General features: G+C 35.0%; 1 long non-coding RNA gene across 1 annotated transcript in view; it reads left to right on the plus strand.

Annotated features, from left to right (window-relative positions):
• Positions 1 to 5,017: 5,017 nt before the first annotated feature.
• The window catches only part of LOC105377535 (uncharacterized), a 92,939-nt gene continuing 74,105 nt past the window's right edge, over positions 5,018 to 23,851 (plus strand). The window contains exons 1-2 of the long non-coding RNA XR_939444.2: positions 5,018 to 5,761; positions 23,496 to 23,559. This is a non-coding gene — a long non-coding RNA (uncharacterized LOC105377535). The remainder of the gene's footprint in view (positions 5,762 to 23,495; positions 23,560 to 23,851) is intronic.

Here is a 23,851-nt window from a genome sequence, read left to right on the forward strand (position 1 = left end):
TTATGTTTAAAAGGGAAGCAGAGCATAAAAGTTTGGAAAATTTACAGCCTGATGATGGGATAGAAAAGAAAAACACATTTTCTGGGGAGATAGTGAAGCCTGTTGCAGAAATTTGCATAAGTAATGAGGAGCCAAATGCTCGTCATCAAGACAATGGAGAAAATGTCTCCAGGACATTTCAGAGGTCTTCACAGCAGCCCCTCCCATCACAGGCCCAAGAGGAAAACAAGGTTTCAGGTGCTGAGCCCAGGGCCTTGCTGCTTTGTGCAGTCTTGAGACTTGGTGCCCTGAATCCTAGCTATGATTAAAAGGGGCCAACATACCACTCAGGCCATTGCTTGAGAGGGTGCAAGCCCCAAGCTTTGTTGGCTTCCAGGTGGTGTTGGGCTTGCAGGGGCACAGAAGTCAAGAATTGAGGTTTGGGAACCTTTGCCTAGATTTCAGAGGATGTATGGAAATGCCTGGATGCCCAGGCAGAAGTTTGTCACAGGGGTGGAGCACTCATGGAGAACCTCTGCTAGGACAGTGGATTTGGGAAATGTGGGGTTGGAGATCCAACACAGAGTCCCCACTGGGGCACTTCCCAATGGAGCTGTGAAAAGAAGGCCACCATCCTCCAGACCACAGAATGCTAGATCCACCAATAGCTTTCACCATGCTCCTGGAAAAGCCACAGACACTCAATGCTAGCGTGTGAAAACAGCTGGGTGGGGGCTGTATCCTGTAAAGTCACAGGGTGGAGCTGCACAGGACTGTGAGAACCCACCTCTTACATCAGTGTGATCTGGATGTCAGACATGGAGTCAAAGGAAATTATTTAGGAGCTTTAATATTTAATGACTGCCCCACTGGATTTTGGTCTTGCATGGGGTCTATTAACCCCTTTGTTTTGTCCAAATTCTCCCACTTGGAATGGGAGCATTTATCCAATACCCATATCCCCATTGTATCTTGGAAGGAACTAACTTTCTTTTGATTTTGCAGGAGCACAGGCAGAAAGGACTTGCTTCTTCAGGTGAGCCTTTCCAGTTGGACTTTTGAGTTAATGCTGGAATTAATTAAAACTTTGGGGGACTATTGGAAAGGTATAATTGTGTTTTTAACTGTGAGGACATGAGATTTGGGAGGGGCTGGGGCAGAATGATATGGTTTGGCTGTGTCACCACCCAAATCTCATCTTGAATTGTAATTCCTACAATCTCCACATGTCTAAGGAGAGACCTGGTGGGAAGTGATTGGATCATGTTGTCAGTTTCCCCCATGCTGTTTTCATGATAGTGAATGAGTTCTCACAAGGTCTGATGGTTTTATAAGGGGCTCTTCCTCCTTCGTTCTTCATATTCTCTCCCCTGCTACCAGGTGAGAAGATCCAAGCTTGCTTCTCTTTTGCCTTTTGCCATGATAGTAAGTTTCCTGATGCCCCCACCAGCCATGCAGAACTGTGAGTCAGTTAAAGCTCTTTCCTTTATAAATTACCCAGTCTCAGGCAGTTCTTTTTAGCAGTGTGAGAATGGACTAATACAGTGTGGAAATTTTGACAGTTAGAGAAATATGTACGTAAGTTAATTTGTTAGTGAGGAATTCTAAAGTGAACAAGTGTTTACCTTGCAAAAGGTATAGTTTTGTCCTGAGAGGATCTATAAGAACCACGGCAGTCTGTAAAAATATACAACTTCTTATCTCCAGAACTTTGCCAAAGGTCGATTGTCGCATAGGAAATCTAACAAAATCAACCTAAAACTAAAAGGCCCCAATTGAATATTAGAACAGAATTCATCATGAAAGTACCGCCCAACCATGGGCAGGTTGGCACCTTGATCAGGTAGAGACTCAAGAGAGATCAGATGTGTTCACTCTTATTGGCTTGAGAGTCCTAGTCTAAGGCCACAAGGATCTTAATGGAATCACAGTGAACCTCCACTCTGTCAAAGATCTCCAGCCAAAAGTAACCTGAAATATACCTGTAGTCAAACAAATGTGGATTGATTGGTTTATTATAGCCGGTAGGATATGCATGTGGAACTACCCAAAAATACTACCAAGAATTTGTGAAGCCAAAAGTGCCACCAAGAATGTACAAAATTCCCCAAAGTAGAAGCAGTTCTTTATTTGAGATTGTTGCCTTGCATTTTATGTGAAAATAAAAGTGTGGAATAAAAATCCTGCAAATTGCCCATTTCTATTATACAGATATCAAAGACCTATTTGTAGAACAGATAATGAATAGCAGGCAAGTATGAACTTAAGAAAGTAACAAAAACCCAAAGCTATGAAAACAAGTAGCATTTCCGTGTCAGGTAGTAGTCTCAATCTTTTTAAAATGTCGACACTCCAGGGCATTTGAAGTTTTCGCAGACAGCATACTAGATATTTTGTTTTGTTGTTTTTCACTAAACAACACTGCTAGCATTTTGTTCATACATGTGTGTCTAAATAGTTTATATACTATAGAGAATGGGGGTAACTCATTAAAATAATATTAGAAATAAATGAGGGACTGAATATATAAATGGATGATGGCCAGTCCATATTACAAATTGGAACTCTCACTCACAATCTGTAGCAACTAGGTCAGGAAATAAAAACATTCTCTAAAATAAGCACCCCTGGAAGCCAGACTACTAGTTATAGATATATCGATATAGATATATAGATACAGATATATAGATATAGATATATAGATACAGATATATAGATATAGATTAGATATATTGATAGATATATATAATGTCAGACTAATAGGAAGTCAGAACACAAACCGGAGCAAAAACCCAGGGAACTAAGCAATAACCCCTGTAACAATCAGCCCCCAAATATCCAGGATTTGTTAATAAGTAAGCTCCCCACATTTGTCTCCACTCCCAACTTAGGACCACCTAGAGAATGCTAAATATGCATCCCTTACCAATCACATGCCTTCCTTTTAGTTATCTTCCGACGGACTCCCTGTAGCAACAGCCTTCAATCAGGGCTCACGTGGAGCCTTGCCTTTTTTCCACAATAAATCTTTCCCACTCTTCTGTCTGCCTTTGAATCTTTATCAAAAGGCAAGGGATAGTGACTGACTCCCTTGCTGTAGTATGCTCTGAATAAATAGCTAATGCTTGTTCTTTTCTTTTCTTTTCTTTTTCGGTTGGCCTTTGTCTATCTTCACAGGAAGCATAAGCAAAAAGTATTATCAAAATTGAGCTTAGGGTAGGTGATTGGGAGAAAGTTCTCAAACTCCTAGCATCAAGTAATCCTCCTGCGTCAGCCTCCCAGAGAGTTAAAATTATAGGAGTGAGCCACTGTGCCACACTGGGAGAGGGTTAAAGGAGGTGGGATGCATAGCTTGTATAAAGTATAATAGGAGTAATTCTGTAAGTAGGTGTATTAATTAAATCTGGAAAGAAAGAATGAAACGAAACTTAATCTGTAATTAGTAAAGAAGCAACAATCATATTAACCAGAGAAAGAGGTATTTGGCCACTTTTGTTGTTTGCAATATATCTGGTCTTTAGTATGAATATGGAGTTGTCCTATTGCCGTCTTGATCCATCACAGTCACAGAGTGGCCTTGTCTGCTGTTGGTGTTCAGTGAATAACTGATATTCAGTCATAGAATATTATGGCCTAAGGGTGGTAGGCAGGCTGGGTCCCTGAAACACCAAGGTCTGGCTAATGATGACAGGCAAGGTTCTGGTTACTAGAGCTACTTTTTACTTTCTCTAGACTAAATGATTTAGAGACGAAGTCCGCCCCTAGGAGTACTTGCTATGCGATATAAAGATGGCTACCCAGTTTTCTGTGGCACAGTATTTATCTCTAATATAAGAAATACATAGTGTAAGGCAGACCACATATCTTTCTACCCGCCCTCTCTCCATCATCATCTTCTTCTTTTCTTTAAATTAATTAATTATTTTTTTTTGAGATGGAATTTTCCTCTTGTTGCCCAGGCTGGAGTGCAATGGTGTGATCTTGGCTCACTGCAACCTCCACCTCCTGGGTTCAAGCGTATCTCTTGCCTGAGCTTCCCGAGTAGGTGGGATTACAGGCCACCAAGCCCAGCTAATTTCTTGTATTTTTAGTAGAGATGGGCTTTCACCATGTTCTCCAGGCTGGTCTTGAACTCCTGACCTGAGGTGATTAACCCATAATATTAATTATAATAATCAAATCATGAACCTACTTTTCTATTTCACAATATGTTTGCATTAATTTTTTTAGAAATTTGAAGTAAATTATTTCTAAAGTTAGAAAATTTAATCTAGAATTTTTTGCTGTTTGTGAATTATTTTCTTTCTATTTTTTTTCTTCTGCTGTGTATCCCTCCTCCAGAGTAATTTAACTCTAATTTTAGGGAAGTTTCATCAAGGAGTGATATAAGGTGCTATTTTAAACCTAAAGATTATGCCCTCCTTTTCCCATATACTTCGTAAAATATTCTAAAGATATTCGTGGCTAAAAAGCTATTTCAAGGTAGAAAAATGAACTAGAGAATAATTTAAAAGCTGATTATAGGCTGGGCACAGTGGTTCATGCCTATAATCCCAGCACTTTGGAATGCCGAGGACGGTGGATCACCTGAAGTCAGGAGTTCAAGACCAGCCTGGCCAACATGGCGAAACAGAGCAAGATTCTGCCTCAAAAACAAACAAACAAACAAACAAAACAAAAAACGCAAAAACGCTGATTGTAGAAATGGAATCTAAAGAAAGAAAGAAAGAAAGGAAGAAGAACAAAGCAGGGACAGAGGTTTAAAATCTTTTGAGTTGCACTTATGCAAACATTTCCTTTACAACTTTATTTATATAGTTAAATGGATCCTTTGCCTCCTTGTTGAATCACCTGGGTCCTTAGGAAGACTTGAAACTAGCAGTAAGGATAGAATGTTTTCAAGAAACAAGTATTACATTTATTTATGATAAAGAGATGTCATAAAATGCAGAGATCTTTTAACAGACATATTGTTTTTTAATTACAAGTAACTAAATGCCAACCTACAGAACGTCTACTCTTTGCTGCACCAGTAGATGAAGGATCCTCTGAAATTCACTCAGATTCACTGGTAAATAATTTTCCTTTCCTGGAGAGATGCAATTGAACAGAAATATGCACAATAAAAAATAACCCTACCTGTCTTTAGCATTCATATTGAAAATATGCTTGCTATTTACAGTAACTTTTTAAAAATCTGACTAAGTAGTGCATTGTGTCTGATACCCTTCATTAAAACCAACTTCCAATAAGTGGAAAACTTTTAGCTGTAAAAATGTCATTATCTTTACCCACTACCCAACCAAAATGGTGTTTACAATCAGATTTCTGATGAATGTAAAACATCTGAACTTTTCTGTTTAGAATGCCATTATACAGATATTTTGGCTTTCAATGGAGACCAATTAGTTCTATCCCTCTACATTCCTGAGTAAATAGAATTTCTTTATCAGTGCTTTTCCTTCCCCTGCATTTTGCAGTTTGTTGATTCTAAAGTGTATTTTCTGTAGTTATTTGTGATATGACATCTTGGTTGCTACACAGCAGTTCTCAGTGGTTGTAAATCAATTCCTTAAAGAAATTAATTAAAAAATTTAAAGCAGTTAATGCAGCTGAAGGCCTCCAGACTCATGGATCACCAGCTGGGTTTACGGAAGCCATCTGGTATATACTTATTTTTCTTTTTTCCTTTTTTCTTAGTTTGCAGATATATTGTTCAGTCAAGGTCCTTCCTTGAATGATTCAGAATGTAGCATCTTCCTCCAAATCCATCTGAATATAGGTAAGTATAGATATGTATTAAAAATGGAGATAATAAATATCATTTGGTGAATCATTTTATTACAATTATTATTCATTAATTTTCCTTTAGCTTTTCCTATAACTGCCTACTCATTTTTCTAAGTCTCAGAAAAATCCAAATTTTAATTAAGAAATTCTCAAACCCAAAGAAGACTTAGCAACATTTTTTACTAACAATCATTTTATAACATTGTTTCCTGTCTTAAAATGAAATTCACATATTCCATAGCTTACCTACATAAGTAACATAAACCAAAATAATGGCATAAATATAAGGGCATATATGCCCAAAAATATATAATCGTGATCAGTGTAAACATGAGACATAATTACATTAAAGGTTATATTGAAGTGGTGAGATGCCTACAATTTGAAATAGAATTACTGTAAGTGGTGCAAATACTGAAAGATACTATAATAAAATGAAGATTCCATATCCGATGTGAGAAATTTGACAGCTTTCAAATTGCTACCCCTCTCCTTTCCCCATATTTGGGTAATCTAATAAGATCCCTCACCCCCATTCACACCCCTCACCCCTGGAACAAACCCTCTGCCCCATGTCATAAGTCAAAATTCAAATAACAGCAGAGAACCTCCATCTGGGCTCCATTCTCTAACTGGAATAAAAACTCCAAGCCATTTGTCTCCTTTTGCTATTGTTTCTCTTCAGACTGAGTCTATCTCGTTGGACTCATTTCCTTTTTACTATGTGTGCAATAAACATTAGATCCTGGCACTCATATGTCATTACACTCAACATTCATAAATCTCTGGGGTGGCAGAGGAGGCATTCTCTTCATTCAGCGGAGATTGCCAAATAACAAAAAGGTACCTTTGTTTACTGTTGGTGATTTAAACACTAAAAGCGACTGTTGTATCATTGTAGGTATGTCTATTTTATATAGTATATATAAAGATTAATAAAGTTTGGAAAAAAGTACAATTTTCCCCTGATTTACATGTTATTTCCCTGTTACAAAATGTTAAAACATAGCCAAGGCTTACAGAACGCTTATTGTCTGAAAAGCACTATTTTAGGTTCCTTACATTTTCTCTTCACATCAACCTGATGGTGTCATTTATCATCACAGTCTTACAAATAGGAAAACCAATGCAGAGAGAAGATAGGAATCTTGTTCATGGTTACACAGCTAGTGACAAATTCAGATTTTAAATCCTAATAATCTAGTTCTGAAATCTTTGCTCTTAACACTCTAAAATTCTTAGATATTTTTGATTTACATGCAAAACAAAGTTAGATGCCAGTCTTAGATAATCAATCATAAAGCAGTTTTTCCTCCATATCTTTCTGCCAGGACACTCAACACTCACACAACATACAATAGGATGATGACTACTTCACATGTTGGAGGAAAGGGCCAGTCGACTGCCCATTGAGCCTCACTCACCTAAGATACACCATCCTGTATCTACTGTCCTGTGAAATAAAAATACCATCAAGAATTTACAAAATGCCCAAAGGTGGGGGTAGTCTCTCTGACACTGTTGCTTTATGTTTGATGTGAAAATGAAAATGTGTGCTTTCATTTTGCAAATTTCCCACTTACATGATGTTGGAATTAAGAATCTACTTGTAGCACAGACCAGGAAAAGAAGGAGATAAGTGGGACCTTGAATAAGTCACACAAACCCACAGGCCAGCATTCCATGTTGATATGGTAGCCTTTTTACATTTTGAATTGTCTACATTTGGGGCATCTAAAGCTTAGAAAACAGGTGGTATTTTGAGAACTAGATATTGTTTTTGTTATTTGGTTTTCCACTTAGCAGCATCTCTAGCCCATCATTAAGAAATGTGGGTCTAGTTTATAGAATTATTCTTAATCTCTTTGTTCTCACATTTCTACTCTTTCAAGTAAGAAAGTTTTAGACACAAGCCTTAGGGAATGATAAGGCAACTTAATATGCTTTATTTTCCATTTATTTAGGCTGATGATCAAAGGATCTATATTTAAAATTTCCAAGGCAATTAATCTCAAATAGCTTCAGAGATTTTTTTACTTCAGAATTTTTCCAAGATTGCTTTTGTCTAAAGTCATAGAAATGAGACCAAGAGAGAGTCAAGTCTATCAAAACATGTATGTAAAGTGTGTATTTCTCTATGCAATTTTGCCATACAGGACAAAGTGTGTTAACAGCCTGCAAAATAGTTAAGTTATGACAGAAGGGAACATTAGATTTTTTAATAGGTTTATTGAGTTTTTTAATGTTAATGTTAATATTTTCTCATTTTTTAATTTGTTTTTTCCCATAGGATTTTGCATTCTGTAAAAAAGTTAAACTATTATTTATATTTTTGATATTAAATTTAACATGGCAAAGTCTGATTTGTTCTTATGCCTTACAAGACATTTTTGAAAGTCTTATACTAACTTCCTTCCATCAGCATATTTGACCTTTGAAGGAATAGCATTTTACTTTGGTTTTTGAATAAATTTGGAGGTGAGTCTCTGCATTCTAATGCAATCACTGAATCACCAAAGAGATACTAAAGAAACCAGGGAATGCATCAAGAATTATTTATAAGCAATTCTAAAGCTCATAGATACACAGTTGCAAAGTTCGGAGAAATAAATGTGGCATTTATCAGTAACAATTTTCATGCCAATGGGATAGAAATTATTGAGTAAAATCCCATTGCAAACATCAGTCCTTAGCTGTCATTAGGAAAATGCTGAGAATCACATTTCCCAGCTATAGTCAATTTTAACGATATTCCCAGGATCAACTTCCTGTCAGAAGATGCTATTGAAAAAGCAAGACAACAAAGACAAACTCTTCTCAATGGGAAATTATCTTCAGACAAAGAGACATTCTGTGAACTCAACGATTAATAACCTTTAACTTTGCAATGTTTGACTTTGAAGTAGTGATGAACAGAATACAGAAATGAAAAAGCAGAAACAATGATTTCTCTACCCAAGTGTCTTTTTCATTTTAAATAATTTGTATTTAAAATCAACTTTCTTTCCTTGACTCAGCAACTTAAAATGTAAAGAGTTGCACCGTTTAGCAGGAATATGTTGAACTAGAACTCAAGAGCACTGGGCTTCAATTTCAGGATTATTAGGAAGTCTGACAACTATTTTACCTATTAAGAGGTACATGTGGATGGCTATATGACAAATGAAGTTGCTTTAAATAAGGTTGTTTGGTTTTTTGTTTGTTTTTTGAGATGGAGTCTCACTCTATCACCAAGGCTGGAGTGCAGTGGCACAATCTTGGCTCACTGCAACCTCCCCCTCCCAGGTTCAAGTGATTCTCCTACATCAGCCACCTGAGTAGCTGGGATTACAGGTGTCCAACACCACACCTAGCTAATATTTTTTTTTTGTATTTTTAATAGAGATGGGGTTTCACCAGGTTGGCCAGGCTGGTTTCAAACTCCTGATCTCAAGTCAGGATCCTCTCACCTCGGCCTCCCAAAGTGCTAAGATTACAGGTGTAAGCCACTGCACCTGACCTTAAAAAAGGTTTTTGATCTGTTCTTGGTGGAATTCCTGGATGAGACATGGTGGGGGTGGGAAGTAAGAGTGTAGGGGGTTGGGTAGCATGATTATTAGCTTTTAACCTTGGATTCAAACAGAATAGATTTGCATTTACCTATTTTATATGTTGAGCTGCTGCATAAGCTTTCATGTAAAACAAGTTTTGATAATTTACTTCTCTTTTACCCCAGAAGTTTGTAGATAATTTTTCTATAACAATTCCTGAAAATGAGAATAATAATTCTGAATCCCTTTTACAGAAGCAAAGGGGTTTTATTAATAAAAAACAAGGGCACAATTTTAAAAATTGGCTGATATTACTTTGTAAAGACTTTTCATGGCTCTGTGGTTGATCCACTTCAATGTTTTGTTAGTAGATATGAAAGTTTTGAGTGTTATTTGCTCTTTGGGTGATGGTAGATGCTGCTATAAACAGCCAGCCAATTCAGCTCTGACTACAACTGCTGTTCTCACTAGACTCCAGGCACACATTTTAGGAGAAGTAAATTATTGAAAGCTTGTGTGACTAGGTGACTGCCAATACATTATCCCAAACCAACACCCCCAATTCTGCATTGCACTTAGTCTTTTTTTAGTATGATGTTTCTACTTTGAGATTCAAAATAATAATAACTGTTCTTATTACAGCATTTTCCTCTTTTCACCAAAAGGAATTTGATTTTTATCAAAATCAAGGGCAGCATTAGAGGTCGAGCTACTTGGCCATAGATAACAGCACGTAGGGATATGAAAGGATACTAAAAGAAAGATAATATGAGTCACTAGAAGCCTTTCCTATTTGCTCAGAGTATCTCAGGTACAAAGAGAACTAGTGATTCCAGTGGAAAAGGAAAAATAAGATATTGGCCATGAACACACTTCACATACTGCCCAGAGCCTGATGACCAGCCTATTCAGTGCCCCCCATCACTGGTAACCCCATCACCTCAAATGAAGGACTGCTGTACACCATGCTTGCCCCTCACAGACTGGAAACCAGCCTGCCTGCTGCTAGCCATTACCATAGAAGTTGCTTGATAGAGTTTGGGTAATTGTTCCCTCCAAATCTCATGTTGAAATTTTATCCCCAATGTTGGAAGTGGGGCCTAGTAGGAGGTGTTTGTATTATAGAGGAAAATATTTCAAAACCAGCTTGGGGCCACTGTCATAGTATAAGTGAGTTTTCACTTTATTAGTTCCCATGAGATCTGTTTGTTAGAAAGTGCCTGGCACCTCCCTTCCTTTCCTCTTTCTCCCTCATCATGTGATGCCTGCTTCCCTTTGCCTTCCATAATGAGTAGAAGCACTTTGAAGCCCTCACCAGAAACAGATACAAGCACCATGCTTTTAGTATAGCCTGCAGAAATGTGAGCCATATAAGCCTCTTTTCTTTATAAATTATCCATCCTCAGGTCTTCCTCTGTGGTAATGCCAAGCAGACCAAGACACTGTTTCTGTGACCAGCAGAGCCAACATGTCTGGCACAAGCCTCTCCAGAGCCTGAGAACCAGCCCATCTGGCATCCTATGCCCCCAGCAAAGCTATGCCACTGCCTTCAAAAAAAAAAAAAAGGAACAAGAACAGAAAAGAAAAGAAAATGGCAGTCTATGCAGCTGGGGCATTTGCAGATATTGCTGGCATAGACTATAGCCAAAGTATCACAGGAGACTGCATAACTGCATGCATCTAGAACCATACCCAAACCACCCTACCCAACACTATGGAATATATCTAGAGGAAAAAGTCTCCCTTAGGAATGCTAGCTCATAAAATTGAACGAGGCAACTGTTTTTACCAGATGTGCAGATAACAATGTTAGGGTGACAAGAAACATGAAAAAGCTAGGATACATGACATTTTCAAGGAAAGACAACAGTTCTTTAGTAACAGTCCCCAAGGTAAAGGAAATCTATAAAATGCCTAAAAGTGTTTTAAAATAATTTTGAAATACTTTTGAATTTTTAATTTTTAAAGAAACTCAGTGAGATAAAAGGAAATACATATAGATGAATCAATAAAATCAGGAAAAGAATAATGATCTGAATAAGATATTCAACAGATAAATATCATAAAAAGAACCAAACAAATATATCAGAGCTGAAGAATTCAATAAATGATGAAAAAATTCAGTTGAGAGCTTCAGCAACAGACCAGATCAAGCAGATCAAAGACATTCTGAACTTCAATACATATCTTTTGAAATCACTCAGTCAGACAAAAGAAGAAGTGAAAGAGTAAGAGGAGAAGAAGGAGGATGACAAAAAGGAAGAAGAGGAAAAAAAGAAGAGGAGGAAGAAATGTTTTTAAATGAAGAAAGCTTACAAAATTTCTGGGACACCATTAAGTAAACAAGTATTCACATTAAGAGAATTCCAGTAGGAGAGAAAGATGGAAAAATAAAATAGAAAATTTATTTAATAAAATAATACCTGAAAATTTCCCAAATTTGGGGGGAGATATAGACATGCAGATTTGTGAAGCTCAAAGAATCCAAAATTGAATCAACCCAAAAAAGTCCTCTCCAAAGAAAATTATAGTCAAACTGTCAAAAGTCAAAAACAAGAAAAGAATTCTAAAACAAACAAAAATTTAGCAAGCCCCATAAAAGAGAAACTCCATTAGAAGGAGAGCAGATTTTCCAGAGGAAACCATATAGGCCAGAAGAGAATGGGGTGATATATTCAAAGAGCTAAAAGGAAAAACATGGTAACCAAGAATACTATACTCTTCGAAGTTCTTCTTCAGATATGTAGGGGAAATAAAATCTTTCATAGAAAAGCTAAATTGGAGGAAATTCATTACCACTAGGCAAGCCTCACAAGAAATTTCTTAAGGAAACCATACATCTAGAAATAAAGTACAATAATTACCATCATGAAAACACAGTAAAGTATAAAATTCATTGGTAGAGCAGGTGCACAAATGAGAAAGAAATCAAACCCTATAACTACAAAAAAAAAACCTGCCCACCAACCTGCAAAGATAAGGGATAAGAAAGAAAGAATAAAAAAAAAAGGTATACAAAAAAGCTCAGAAAACAATTAACAAAATGACAAAAGCAAACGCTCACATATAAATAATAATATTGAATGCAAATAGATAGTTCTTCTAATTTAAAAATATAGACTAGCTGAATGGATTAAAAAAACAAATCCCAACTATATGTGGCCTGCCATAAACTCACCTCATCTGTAAAGACACACATAGACTAAAAGTGAAGAGATGGAAAATGTTAGTCTATGCAAACAAAAACTAAAAGTAAAAAAAAAGGAGTTATAATTATATCAAATAGTATTTAAATCAAAATGGTAAAATAAACAATTAAGTTCATTTTATAACAATAAAGAAATCAACTCAGCAAGAGGATGTAGAGATTATAAATATATATGCACCTAACACTGGAGCACTCAGATATATAGAGCAAATATTACTAGAGCTAAGAAGAGAGACTCCAACACAATCATAGTTGGAGAGTTCAACACCCTACTGTCAACACTAGATAGACCATTTAGCAAAAAAATAAAGAAATATAGGACTTAACTGCATTTTAGAGGATAGGGACCCAACATACATTTACAGGACATTTCATCCATCAGCTACAGTATACTCATTCTTGTCATCAGCATATGGAATATTTTCCAGGAATCAAGAAACCATATGTGAAGTCACAAAATAATTCTCAACAAATTTTCAAAAACCAAAATCTTATCAAGTTTATTCCTAGACTACAATTGAATAAAATTAGAAATCAATAATTAAAGGAATGTTGAAACTATACAACTACATGAAAATTCAACAACATGCTCCTGAATGACGACCAATGGGTCAAAAAAGAAATTAAGAAGGATATTAAAAAATTTTTTGAATCAAATGAAAATAGAAACAAAGCATACTAAAACCTCTGGGTTACAAGTTTTGTATCATAATACTGCTTTTGTAGGATTAAGCAGCATTACCATGCAAGTTTATAATAAATGCCTACAACAAAAAGGTAGAAAGATTTTCAATAAACAACCTAACAGTATACTTCATGAAACTAAAAAAGAAAGAACAAACCAAACCCTAAATTAGTAGGAGGAAATAAGAAATAAACATGAGAGCAGAAATAAATGGAGACTAAAAAAATACAAAAGATCATCAAAACAAAGTTATTTTTTGAAAAGATAAAATAGACACATTATTAAACTAATAAAAAGACTCAAGTAATTAAAATCAGAAGTGAAAAAAAGAGACATTACAACTGACACCACGGAAATACAAGACCATTAGAGACCAATAAAAACAACCATAAACCAACAAACTGAAAAACCTAGAGGAAATGGATAAATTCCTGGACACATAAAATAAACCAAAATTAAAATAGGAAGAAATAAGAAGCCTAAACAAACCAATAAATAGTAATGAGATTGAACGAGTAATTAAAAAGACTTCCAACAAAGAAAAGCTCAGGAACACAAGAATTTATTTTTGAATTCTACCAAATTTTAAAAAAAGAACTAAAACCAATTCTATCCCAAAAAACTTGAAGAGAAGGAACTCACTCCTAACTCATTCTACAAGTCCAGCATTACCCTAATGCCAAATCATACAAGACGACAATAAAAAAAGAAAACCAAAAGCCAATATGCCTGATGAACATATATGGAAAATTTCTCAACAAAATATTATAGAACTGAATCCAGTAGCATCTCAAAAAGATAATATGTCATAATCAAGTGGGATTTGTTTTAGGGATATAAGGAGGAATCAACACATGTCAATGAATAAATGTAATACATCACATTAACTGAATTAAAGACAAAAATGAAATGATCATCTTAATAGATGCAGAAAATTTGATAAAATTCAACATTCTTTCATGATAAAAATGTTTAAGAAGTTAGGTATAGGAAAAAAATACCTCAACACAATAAAGATCATATATGACAAACTCACACCTAAAATATACTAAATAATTATAAGTGTATTAGTCCATTCTCATGTTGCTACAAATAAATATCCAATACTGGGTAATTTACAAAAAAAAGAGGTTTAATTGGCTTACAGTTCTGCAGGCTGCATAGGAAGCATAGCAGCTTCTGCTACTGGGGATGCTTTAGGAAACTTACTACCATTGTGGAAGATGAAAGGGCAGCAGGCATGTCTTACATGGCTGGAGTGTGAGGTAGAGAGGAGGGGAGGTACTACAATATCTCACAAGATATAAGGAGGATCATGTTAAATCATTAGAAACTGTCCCCATGATTCAATCACTTCCCGTCAAGCCCCTCCTCCAGCATTAGAGATTACATTTCAACATGAGATTTTGGTGGTGACATAGATCTAAACCATAATGAGTATGAACTGGAACAAGACAATGGTGTCCACTTTACCCTCTATTATTCAAACTAGAATTTGGGAAGACCTAGCCTTAGTCAAGAGAAAAAAAAAAAAGAATATCCAAATTAGAAAAGAGATTGTTTCTGCTGGCAAATGAAATTACCTTATATATAGACAAATCTTATGACTCTACCAAACACAAACAAACAAAAAACTTCTGAAAGCTAATGAACAAATTCAAACTTGCAGGACACAAAATTATCATACACAAATTAGCACCATTTTTATACACCAATGAGAAACTAGTTGAAAATGAAATCACTAAAATAACCTTATTTCGCGTAGCTACAAGAAAGAAATAAAGTACCTAGGAATAAATTTAATTAAGGAAATAAAATATCTCTACAATGAAAACTACAAAACTGATGAAAAGAATTGAAGGACACAAGCAAATGAAAAGGCATCCTATGGCCATGGATTAAAAAAATGACTACTATAAAGATAATCATACTGTCCAAAGTGATCTACACACTCAATGCTATCCCTATCAAAGTACTAATGCCATGTTTCACAAAAATAGAAAAACAATTCTAAAATTCACGTGGAACCAAAAAGGGGCCCAAATAGCCAAAGCAATCCTGATTTAAAAGAACAAACCGGGAGGCAACTTAATACCTGAATTCAAATTATACTGTAAACCTACAGTAAGCAAAACATTATGGCATTGTTAAAAAAGATACATTAACCAATGGATCCAAATACATAATCCAGGAATAAACTCATATATTTACGGCCAACTGATTTTTAACAAAGACGTAAAGAACATACAAAAAGGGAAAAACACTCTCCTAAATAAGTCGAGAAAACTGGATATCACAAGCAGAAGAATGAAACTAGACCTCTACCTCTCACCATACACAAACAGCAACTCAAAATATATTCAATATTTAAATATAAGCCTAAAAATTATGAAATTATCAAAAGAAAACATAGGGGAGATGCTTGAGAACATTGGTAAGCAAAAATTTTATAAGTAAGACTTCAAAAGCACAGATAACAAAAATGAAACTAGACAAATGAGACTGTGCCAAACTAAAAAACTTTTGCACAACAAAGGAAACCATGAATGGAGTGAAGATATGACCAATTGTATGGGAGAAAATATATGCAAACTATTCATCTAACAAATGATAAATATCTAGAATATACAAGGAACTCAAACAATTCAACTACAGAAAAAAATCCAATTAAAAATTGGCTAAGAATCTGAGTAAACGTTTCTCAAAAGAAGAGATACAAATGATCAACAAATATGAGAAGAAATGCTTGACCTCATTAATCATCAGGGAAATGCAGATCAAAACCATGAAAAATATCATCTCACCCCAGTTAGAATGGCTATTATCAAAAAGACAGATAACTAATATTGGCAAAGATGCAGAGTAAGAAGAATCTTTTATACACTGTAGGTGAAAATGTAAATTAATACAGCCATTATGTAAAACATAATGGAGGTTTCTCCAAAAACTCAAAATACCAGCACTTTGGGAGGCCACGGAGGGTGCATCACGAGGTCAGGAGATCAAGACCATCCTGGCCAACATGGTGAAACCCCATATCTACTATAAATACAAAAATTAGCTGGGCATGGTGGCACTTGCCTGTAATCCCAGCTACTCGGGAGGCTGAGGCAGGAGAATCACTTGAACCAGGGAGTCGGAGGTTGCAGTGACCCGAGATTGCACCACTGCACTCCAGCCTGGGCAACAGAGCAAAATTCCGTCTCAAAAAATAAAACAAAACAAAACAAAAAACAAAACTGAAAATACAACTATCAAATGATTCAGCAATCTCACTGCTGCATAGTTAGCCAAAGAAAAGAAATTAGTATATCAAGGAGATACATGCCTTCCCATGTTTATTGCACTACTATTCACTATAGCCTAAATATGGAATCAATCCAAATGTTTATCAGTGGATGAATGGATACAGAAAATATGGTACATATACAGAATGATATACTCATCAACAGGAATAAAATTGTGTCCTTTGTGGTAAAATATATAAGCTCAGAGGACATCATGTTAAGTGAAATAATCCAGACATAGAAATACAAATACTGCATGTATTCATTAATGTGTGGGTTCTAAACAAAAGTTGATGTCATAAAAGTAGAGAACAGTGTTGTTTTCTTTAGAAGATGAGAGGGCTGGAGGAGAGGAGATTATGGAGAGACCAGTTACTGGATACAAAATTATAGTTAGACAGGAAGAATAAGCTCTAGTATTTGAAAGCACTATAAGGTTAATAAATTTAACAATAATTTAATATATTTTTTAAAAAAGCTAGAAGAGAGGATTTTAAATGTTCTCAACCTATAAAAAATAAATATTTGAGGTAATAGAGATGCGAAGTAGCCTGATTTGATTACCACTCAAGTATACATGTGTTGAAGTATCACTCTATATCCCATAAATCTGTGTCAATTATTGTCAACTAAAAATGAAAAGTAGGTGAAAAAGAAGACAGAAAAGACAATGGGAGACATATGAAACATAAGAGGAAATACTGTGATCAGGTTTTCAATAAGTACCTCAAAAGTCAGATTTATTGTATAAGGATCTCCTGTCCAAAAAAACCACACATACCTTAAGTGCCTCCTGTATATAATCCAAAGGTAAATGGCATGCTATCTTCGTTCTCTTGATGAAGTTACCACTCTAGTATAGAAAGTGACTACTTTTATTAACCACAATCTGAACTTTTTCTCTAAGAAGCAAACACATTAATTTTATGGATAGGCTTTTATTAGTTGAAGAGGGAAATGTAGGATTTGACATAGGATATGTAAGATTTTTCTAGGAAGCCTTTATGTTTACTGCCTGATTTGAATAAAAAGGTATTTTACCTCTTGCCCTCCTTTACAATTGTCAGCAAAATGAATGAATTTCAACACATCTAGATAATTTGGTTTTAGGGAGTAAGACAATTAACTCATTTTTTCACATTTTGTTGCTGTTTATAAAGGATGGCCCTTTTTAAAACTTTTTAGCTACTTCATAGAATATCAACTTGAATAAGTCTTTACTTTTTAAAGTTAGTCGTATATAGAGCAATTGCAAAAATAATACAGTTAACTCCCACACACTCCTCACCCAGCTTTCCCCACTGCTAACATCTCATATAGCCATAATACAATTATCAAAGTTAAGAAATTAACCTTAGTACAACACCGCTAGTTAAATTACAGACCTTCCTCAGATTTCATCAGTTTCACCACTAATATCTGTTTTCTGCTCCAAAACTCAGTCTTGGAACTCACATTGTATTTAGTGGCCCTGTTTCCTTAAATTTCCTCCAATCTGTTCCTCGGTGTTACCGGTTGAATTGCCTGCCTCCACTGGCCCTGAGGCAACCCATTCATATATTGAAGTCCTAAATTCCAGAACTTCAGAATGTGACCTTATTGGGAGATAGGGTTTTTATAAATGTAATCAAGTTAAAATGAGGTCATTAGAGTAGACCTTGAGTCAATAAGACCGGTGTCCTCATAAGAAGGACAAATTTGGACAGAGACATGTAGAGGGAAAATGATGTGAAGACACAAGGAGATGAGGGACATCTACAAACCGGGAAGAGAGAGGCCTGGTACAGATCCTTCCCTCACAGCTCTCAGAAAGAAGCAGCCCTGATAGCCTCTTGATTTTGGACTCCTACACTCCAGAAATTTGAGACAGTATATTTCTGTTGTTTAAGTCAAGAAAAGAAAAGTTAACTTTATATCTATATTCTATTATTATATTAGGCCTACAGTTCAAAACATGCAAATGTCTTTTCTGATTAATTGCAAAGTTTGGTTTCCTAGATCAATGCTCTACATGAGGAGCAGATTACTTTTAAACATTGTTAATTCACTATTGATCACTGTTAAACTCTGTGGCACCTAGTGGAGAAACTCCGGTAGAATAATTTATCAGTGTTTCTGTCTATTATAAAGTTTTTAAAAGTCTCTATTTTGCAACTGCTGTGTTTGAGTTGCTTATGTTCAATATATCCTCCACTTCACCCTGTTACTGATACCTTGATACAACTTGGATTTTACTGAACCTGTTAACAGTAATTTTAAGTGGCATTATTATGAGTTTTTTATGTGAGGCTTTTTCTTTTTTAATGTGTATTTTAGAGGTCTATTCTATTCATGGATGAGTTTTTCATCTGCCCCCAACTCTGTACCCTCTGCAGTAGAAAATAGCAATGAAGGATTATTTTCTACATGAAGAAGACTTAATTGGTATTACCCCAAACATAGAATATCATTGTTATGTAGCTAACTTGGCCTTTCCTTCAACCATAGGCAATAATTATCTGAGTATACTTCATTTGAGTCTCTGACATAAAAAGATGGCCTAAGAAAATAAATCTTCCCCCCAAAATGAAAATTCAACAATGCAATAACACTTACAAAATTATTCCCACTAAAACATCCTCCTACATTTTACTCATGATTATTCTTTAAAAGATATAGTGGACATATAAAAATTCAAAGCAAATTAATATTAAATTAGAAATCCTAAAAACATATTGGATTTTATTAGGTAAATAATTATGTAAATTAATGTAAAATTAAAGGATTTTAAGGGACTCTGAAAATGTGATGAACCACTGAAACATTTTACAAAATGCTCTGATTTCTTTCACTGTAATATTTTTATCACAAAACTAACACATACATTATGACCTACTTTAACACTTGTTATCATTAATGTAATAATCAATTACTGACTCCCCCAAATAAAAAACCTGACAAGCCTTCTTTTGAAAATGTACTTTATTCTCCATATTTGGTCACTTTTCACGTTTATTACCTCTGATTTTTTACCTCTAATTTTTTCACTTTTTACTTTCACCACTGATAGTATTCCTGGTCAGAAACTAATAGACTATAGCCTCATCTGTGAAAGTATTTGCTAGCCTTCTTCAACATTCTCAAAGAATCCTTCTATATACCTCAAATGTAGATTTTTATTATGTTGTTTGAAAAGAGTTTACAATTCTCCCTCACTAAATTATGCTTTCTTGAATTGTACAAACCACATTTTGTTTATAAAACTATTCTAGTGTCTATGAACATTTGTCTTTCACAGAAATGGTTGTCAAAATATGTTAAAATAACAATTTAGGTTAGAATAGATACAAAAGAAAAATAACTTCCATATTAATAAAGTGGGAAACTGTGTTAATTTCCAACATAAAGTTCATTTAAAAAATATTTTGGTTTTTGAGTCTGACTTTATTTATTTTAGCTGTAGAAAGACTTACTAGATCCAAGTGGATTTAGAAGTAAATTATTTCACTGGGGATGTGTAAGCTGTGAGTGACTGCTGTTAGCAGTTTGGATTGAACACAAAAGACATAAATATAGTAATAACTTGATTAGGAGGTAAGCAGAAGAGAAAATAGAAGTTTGTTTTGTATTTTTGTGTGTTTTTACTATGATGTATAAAATTCTTACCATTCAAAAAAAAATCACAAAACTTCGTTCAACTGTAGATTCCTGCTGAAATTCTAGAGTAAGCAATGGGCCTTTCATTATGATTTCTTCCCTCAAATCAGTTTCCTGTGTATTTTGTAACTGTGATAAGTTTCATGTCTCTCTCAACTACTACTGCTTTCACCAGTGTTATAAAAAAAAATTGTGTGGTATATAAATTCTTATGGAAATGTAGTACTAAAAAACCAATGAACTTTTTTACTATGGGAAATTCATCCTACATAGGATTTTCAGAATCTTATTAGCTAGATATATCAACCCTGGTAAATGATTAATCCAGTATATGGGGAGCCATATAACTAAACTCTCAAAATGCAAGATACATAGAATTTAGGAAATGTATGTCTTTATGCTTAAGGCAACTTCATTTACTAACTTTTCAAATTTGTCCTAGTTTTTACTTGAACAATGTTCAAACATTAAATGTGTCCCCAACTCAAATACATACACTAGCAGGAGGATTTAGCCTTAGAGTGCCAGATGTCTTAGCTGATTCTGGACCTATTTATAAGTCATAAAACTATAGAACTTCTAGAAGAAAATCTAGGAGAAAATTTTTTAACTATTGGATTAGGCAAATGTTTTCGAGGGACACAAAATCACCAACTATAGAAGAAAATCAGTGATAAATAAATTAATTCAAAATTAGTAATTATTATTCCTTGAAAGATAAACAAATGAAAAGGAAGCCACAGGCTGAGAGAAAGTATTTTCAAAACACATATCAGTTAAACAACTTACATCCAGAATATATTATGTACTCTTCCAACTCAATAAGAAGACAAATGATTCAATATTAAATGAATAAAAGATCTGAAAAAAATACTTCACTAAAGTAGATAAATGGATGGCTAATAAGCCCTTGGAAACATGCTCACCATCACTAGCCATGAAATACAAATTAAATTAAAATACAAATCACATGCAAATTAAAACCACAATTAAATATCACTATGTACCTATTAAAGTATCCTAAATTTAAAAGTATAGCTATAGTAAGCAATGCAAATTCTTATATATCATTGAGATTTAGAAAAAAGATACAGCCTACTTAGATAACAGTTGAACAGTGTATTACACAGTTAAACATACAATCACCATGTGATTCATTGATTCCTATTTTTGATATACATACCCAAGATTAATTAAAACATGTCCACACAAATACTTATAATCAAATTTTTATATAATTCCATTCACAATCACTGCAAAATAAAAAGTTTAATGTCCATCGTCAATTCATGAATGGATAAAAAATGTGATATATCCATCAATGGAATACAATTCATCAAAAAATAAAAAAAAAACTGATACACAAGTGACATAGGTGAAACTCAAAATCACTTTGCTTTTTGAAGAAAAAAGATGACAAAGAGTATATACTTTATAATTGCTATAGTTTCTTTACATGGAATTCAAGAAAAATCATTACTACAGTAAAAAAAAAAAGTGGATTAGTAGTTTCTAGGTAGACGGGGTGCATACATTTAGTGATCTTGGCTACACAGTAACAGTTACCTGAAAATATATTTGTCAATAGCATTTGAATTATAAGCTTAGAAAAGCGTATTTCCTTTTATGTAATTAAAGCTCAGATCTAAAAATACTTTAACAATATATAAAACAGAGTTGGTAAGCAGGAATACAAACATAGAAGAATCAAATTATTCATTTGGGTACAATTTAGTTGTGTATTTTATTTATCATGTCTAACTTGTGAAATAAAAAGAACTAAATTACATGACAAAATAGCTCACAGGGTAATAAAATGGTATAATTTTATTTTTCATTTATCATTTAGGAGATGGATTAATATGTTGCTTATTGGCTTTGATAAGTTAAATACTCATGATAAAATTTCTAAGACAAATACTAAATAATAAAAAATAATTACATAATTACTACCACCTAAAATGGGCACATGAGTAGAAAAATATAGAAAAACCAAACACAGAAAATGATATTTTAAGAGAATCTACATAGTTTCATTATCAGAGTGAATTTAAATAGACTAATTGTGTCACATGAACAAAATAATTATCAGATTGCATATTAAAATCTAATTATATGCTATTTATAAGATATACACTAAAATCATGAGACTATAGAAAGTTTGAAAATAAAGGCATGAAAAAATATGAGAACACAAAACAAAGCAAAACAAAAAATTGGGGGCTGTTACTCTAAGATAAAGCATTCAATTAACAAATTAAGAAAATGATAAAATAGTCTAAACAATATGAATCGACAATAAATACAACAGTAGAGAAAAATAACAAATTTGTCATTATGTAGCAGGATGAGCTGCAGACAAAACCCCTTAGACACCGAGTTGAGGAAGGAAAGGGCTTTATTTGGCTAGGAGCATAGGCAGACTTACGTCTCAAAAAAACCGAGCTCCCAGCTGAGTGAGCAATTCCTGTCCCTTTTAAGGGCTTACAACTCTAAGAGGGTCGTGATCTATTGAGCAAGCAGGGGGTACGTGACTGGGAGCTGCATGCACCAGTAATCAGAACTGAACAGAACAGGACAGGGATTTTCACGATGCTTTTCCATACAATGTGTGGAATCCATAGATAACATAAGCAGTTAGGTCAGGGGTTGATTTTTTTTTTTTTTTTTTTTTTTGAGACGGAGTCTCGCTCTGTCGCCCAGGCGGGACTGCGGACTGCAGTGGCGCAATCTCGGCTCACTGCAAGCTCCGCTTCCCGGGTTCACGCCATTCTCCTGCCTCAGCCTCCCGAGTAGCTGGGACTACAGGCGCCCGCCACCGCGCCCGGCTAATTTTTTTTTTTTTTTTTGTATTTTTAGTAGAGACGGGGTTTCACCTTGTTAGCCAGGATGGTCTCGATCTCCTGACCTCATGATCCACCCGCCTCGGCCTCCCAAAGTGCTGGGATTACAGGTGTGAGCCACCGCGCCCGGCCAGGGGTTGATTTTTAACTACTAGGCCCAGGGCGTGGCGCTGGGCTGTCTGCCTGTGGATTTCATTTCTGCCTTCTAGCTTTTACTTCTTCTTTCTTTGGAGGCAGAAATTGAGCATAAGACAATATGAGAGGTGGTCTCCTCCCTTAATTATGGTATGCTATTGCATCACAGTTCTTCCAATTTTGATGTTGCTATGGTTTGAATTTTTCCCTCAAAGTTCATGTGTTAAAACCTAATCCCCAACACAACTTTAAGAGGCGCTTAACTCATGAGGGCTTCAGCCGGATGAACTGATTAATGTTGTTTTTGTGGGAGTGGGATAAAATAATGAGTTTGGCCCCCTTCCCACAAGTTCTCTAATTCTTACCTTCTTTTGCCCTTCCTCCTTTCACAATGAAATGAAGCAGCAAGAAGATCCTCGCCAGATACGTGGGCCTCTTGAACTTGGACTTCCCAGCCTGCAGAATGGTAAGAAATAAATGTCTTTCTTCTGGATCAAACCAATCCCCTGAGCCCTATGCAAATCAGACACCACCTCCTCCAGCCTCCTCATATAACTGGCTAATTTCCGCTGCACTCAGGGTTTTCTCTTCATTCGAATCCCTCTTCCCTCTGCCTCTGTATGGGGGAGCTGTTTTCTTCTTCCTTCCTTCTTTCTTGCCTATTAAACTTTTTGCTCCTTAAAACCAAAACCAAACAAACAAAAAGAAATAAATGTCTTTTCTTTGTAGATTACCTAGTCTATAGCATTATGTTATTA

Source organism: Homo sapiens, chromosome 4 (genome assembly GCF_000001405.40).
Source record: "Homo sapiens chromosome 4, GRCh38.p14 Primary Assembly".
NCBI classification, from domain to species: Eukaryota; Metazoa; Chordata; class Mammalia; order Primates; family Hominidae; genus Homo; species Homo sapiens.